Source organism: Homo sapiens, chromosome 2 (genome assembly GCF_000001405.40).
Source record: "Homo sapiens chromosome 2, GRCh38.p14 Primary Assembly".
Lineage (NCBI taxonomy): Eukaryota > Metazoa > Chordata > Mammalia > Primates > Hominidae > Homo > Homo sapiens.
This window is the reverse complement of record NC_000002.12, coordinates 72084754-72088093: the sequence shown is the minus strand read 5'-3', so window position 1 is coordinate 72088093 and position 3340 is coordinate 72084754. Positions and strand designations below refer to the sequence as shown.

General features: G+C 57.9%; 1 annotated feature.

Annotated features, from left to right (window-relative positions):
• Window positions 2301-2801: an enhancer, noted in NCBI's record as "H3K4me1 hESC enhancer chr2:72312423-72312923 (GRCh37/hg19 assembly coordinates)". NCBI's record gives its function as "activates a minimal SCP1, AML or CMV promoter by ChIP-STARR-seq in primed H9 embryonic stem cells {active_cell/tissue: H9 hESC(primed)}" and the evidence as "EXISTENCE:reporter gene assay evidence [ECO:0000049][PMID:30033119]".

Here is a 3340-nt window from a genome sequence, read left to right as displayed (position 1 = left end):
GAGATTAGAAAGGTCACTCTGGTATCATTATGGAGGATGGGCTGGAGAGGGGAAAGGTCAAGGGCAGGTCATCCTGTGTCCGGAATTGGTGGGTTCTTGGTCTCACTGACTTCAAGAATGAAGCCGCGGACCCTCGCGGTGAGTGTTACAGCTCTTAAGGTGGCGCGTCTGGAGTCTGCCCCTTCTGATGTTCAGATGTGTTTGGAGTTTCTTCCTTCTGGTGGGTTCGTGGTCTCGCTGGCTCAGGAGTGAAGCTGCAGACCTTCGCGGTGAGTGTTACAGCCCTTAAGGCAGCGCATCTGGAGTCGTTCGTTCCTCCCGGTGGGCTCGTGGTCTCGCTGGCTCAGGAGTGAAGCTGCAGACCTTCACGGTGAGTGTTACAGCTGCTAAGGTAGCGCGTCTGTAGTTGTTCGTTCCTCCCGGTGGGCTCGTGGTCTTGCTGGGCTCAGGAGTGAAACTGCAGATCTTCGCGGTGAGTGTTACAGCTCATAAAAGCAGCGTGGACCCAAAGAGTGAGCAGTAGCAAGATTTATTGCAAAGAGTGAAAGAACACAGCTTCCACAGTGTGGAAGGGGACCCAAGCGGGTTGCGAATGCTGGCTCGGGCAGCCTGCTTTTATTCTCTTATCTGGCCCCACCCACATCCTGCTGATTGGTATAGCCGAGTGGCCTGTTTTGTCAGGGCGCTGATTTGTGCGTTTACAATCCCTGAGCTAGATACAAAGGTTCTCCACGTCCCCATCAGATTCAGGAGCCCAGCTGGCTTCACCTAGTGGATCCCGCACCGGGGCTGCAGGTGAAGCTGCCTGCCAGTCCTGCGCCGTGCGCTCACATTCCTCAGCCCTTGGGTGGTCAATGGGACTGGGCGCCGTGGAGTAGGGGGTGGTGCTCGTCGGGGAGGCTCGGGCCGCACAGGAGCCCATGGAGTGGGTGGGAGGCTCAGGCATGGCGGGCTGCAGGTCCCGAGCCCTGCCCCGTGGGAAGGCAGCTAAAGCCCGGCGAGAAATCGAGCACAGCGCCGGTGGGCCGGCACTGCTGGGGGACCCGGTACACCCTCCGCAGCCACTGGCCCGGGTGCTAAGTCCCCCATTGCCCCGGGCCAGCAGGGCTGGCTGGCTGCTCTGAGTGCGGGGCCCACCAAGCCCACGCCCACCGGGAACTCCAGCTGGCCCGCAAGCAGCCCCGGTTCCCGCTCGTGCCTCTCCCTCCAAACCTCCCTGCAAACTGAGGGAGTGGGCTCCAGCCTTGGCCAGCCCAGAAAGGGGCTCCCACAGTGCAGTGGGGGGGCTGAAGGGCTCCTCAAATACCACCAAAGTGGGAGCCCAGGCAGGGGAGGTGCGGAGAGCAAGCGAGGGCTCTGAGGACTGCCAGCATGCTGTCACCTCTTAATCCCATTAGCCAGATGGGCAGGCACTCCTCTCCTTTTTGGCAGAACTACCTTCCCAACACCAGGCCTCCCCAGCCTCCTTTGCAGCTAGGTTTTCAGCATCAGGCCTGAATTCGCCCAAGGAATCAGGTGCTTCCAGGAAAATGTTTTCTCCCTGATAAAAAGAGACAATGGAGGAGGAAAATGCCTTCTTTTCTGCCTGTAGACTTTGCCTTGTAAGGATGTGACATTGGGACTCATGGCAGTGGTCTCACATGCTTCAGGGAATGAACTGAGAGAATCACAGTATGCCTGGCCCAGTGCCTGACATAGCTGGGTGGCTGAATTGACCAGGCTTGGGGGCGCCGCCTCCTGACTGCCTTCCATGGAAGAGGAGTGGCCAGCATTTACTGAGTGCCCTTCTAACTCTATGAGGTTATTATGAGAAATGAAGGAATCAATACAGGGGTTGTTATCTGTACATGTGGGGAGCAGGAAGAGCAGAGAGGATGGACAGTGGGGCCCTGGGAGGCAGCTGGTATTTCAGGGGTGCCCAGGGAGTGGGTCCAGAGCAGGGACTAAGGAGTGGCCCAAGAATCAGGGTTGAGGGGCTGGCGGGGGGCAGTGGAGCAGGGAGCTCTGATGGATGGAGAGAGGTCAGGGCAGACAGGCAGAGGCAACTCTGGATAGAGGAGCAGGGCCCCGGTTCTCTTTGCATGAGGCAAGACCACCTGCTAAGTAAAGAGCTGGGGAGTGAGGTTTCGGTCAGGGAGGGATTGCAGAATTGAAAATTTGCAGGGGGTGCAGTTCCTGGGGATGCCAGGGCCTCTGGTCTCCTCCCCAGTAGAGCAACTTCTCCTTTCCCACTTTTCTCCTGCTCCTGACCATGTGGGCTTCAGGGTCTCATGGGAGCCAGCCAGCCTGCAGTGTTCTTGGGAGGTAGAGGCCTTTGGAAATGGGGCCCAGAGCTGTTGGGGACATCCAGCAGCACTCAAAAGGCTGCTTCCTCCAGGCAGCCTTCCCAGGTTGGCAGGGAGCTGTGGGTTCCCACACACCTTACAGCTCGCCAAGCAGCCACTCCCCAGGTGACCCAGTCTTGTTTCCCAGTACTTGGGCTTCAGATCAGCCCTTGCTGTTGATTAATGGTAATGGTTCTCATTGCTCATGCTGACCTTGGCATTAATGGAGCAGGTGAGCGTCTGTTCATGAAGGTGGCTTTCTCTCTTAAGACATGCTCTCTCTCCTGCTCCTACCTTAGGCTCACTCTGAGCAGAGGTGGGTCTGGGGAACAGTGGGGCCTGAGCAGCCTCCCAGGGGGTTGCTGGAGCCCCTGGGACAGAGTCCTCAAGAGGAGAGTCTGCAGGTAGGTGAGGTATCTTTCCGGGGCTGTGGGCGCCCCGAGTCCTGCCTGCTACCTCTGCAGCCTGAGCCCCAGGCTTCTGCAACTGCCCTGGCCCGGGGAGTACAAGAACATGGTTCCCCGGAAGTCCTGATCGCTCCAACTTCTCAAGGACCTGCCTGGGAGAGGCCACCATGGGGGCAGCCCCAGAGCAAGCCACCTCTGGGGGTGAGGCACGACAGATCATGCCGCTCCCGGGCCGCTGCCCACCCTGCTTCTCATTCTACATTCTCTTTTAAGGGGAGACAAGGCCCTGGGGGCCACATCCCTCTTGTGAGCAGTAGTACTTTGTACAGAAAGTATACACTTGGTGGTCCAGGGTAGGCCCTGGAGCCAGACAGGAACAGGGTTCCTGGGTTCAAATCCTGTTCTGCATGTGCCCGTGGAACAACCATGGGCAGGTTTTTCATCTCTCTGAATTTCCCCCTCTGTTTGTAAAACAGGGCTAATCATCATACCGACAGCATGCAGTTGTTGTAAATGAGATGATTCATGAGCCAGGCATTGGAGGTCTCCATAGTGGTCATCTGTGGTCTTTCAGCCCTTGCTGCTCCTGGTGCGGCAGCCCCCGTCTCT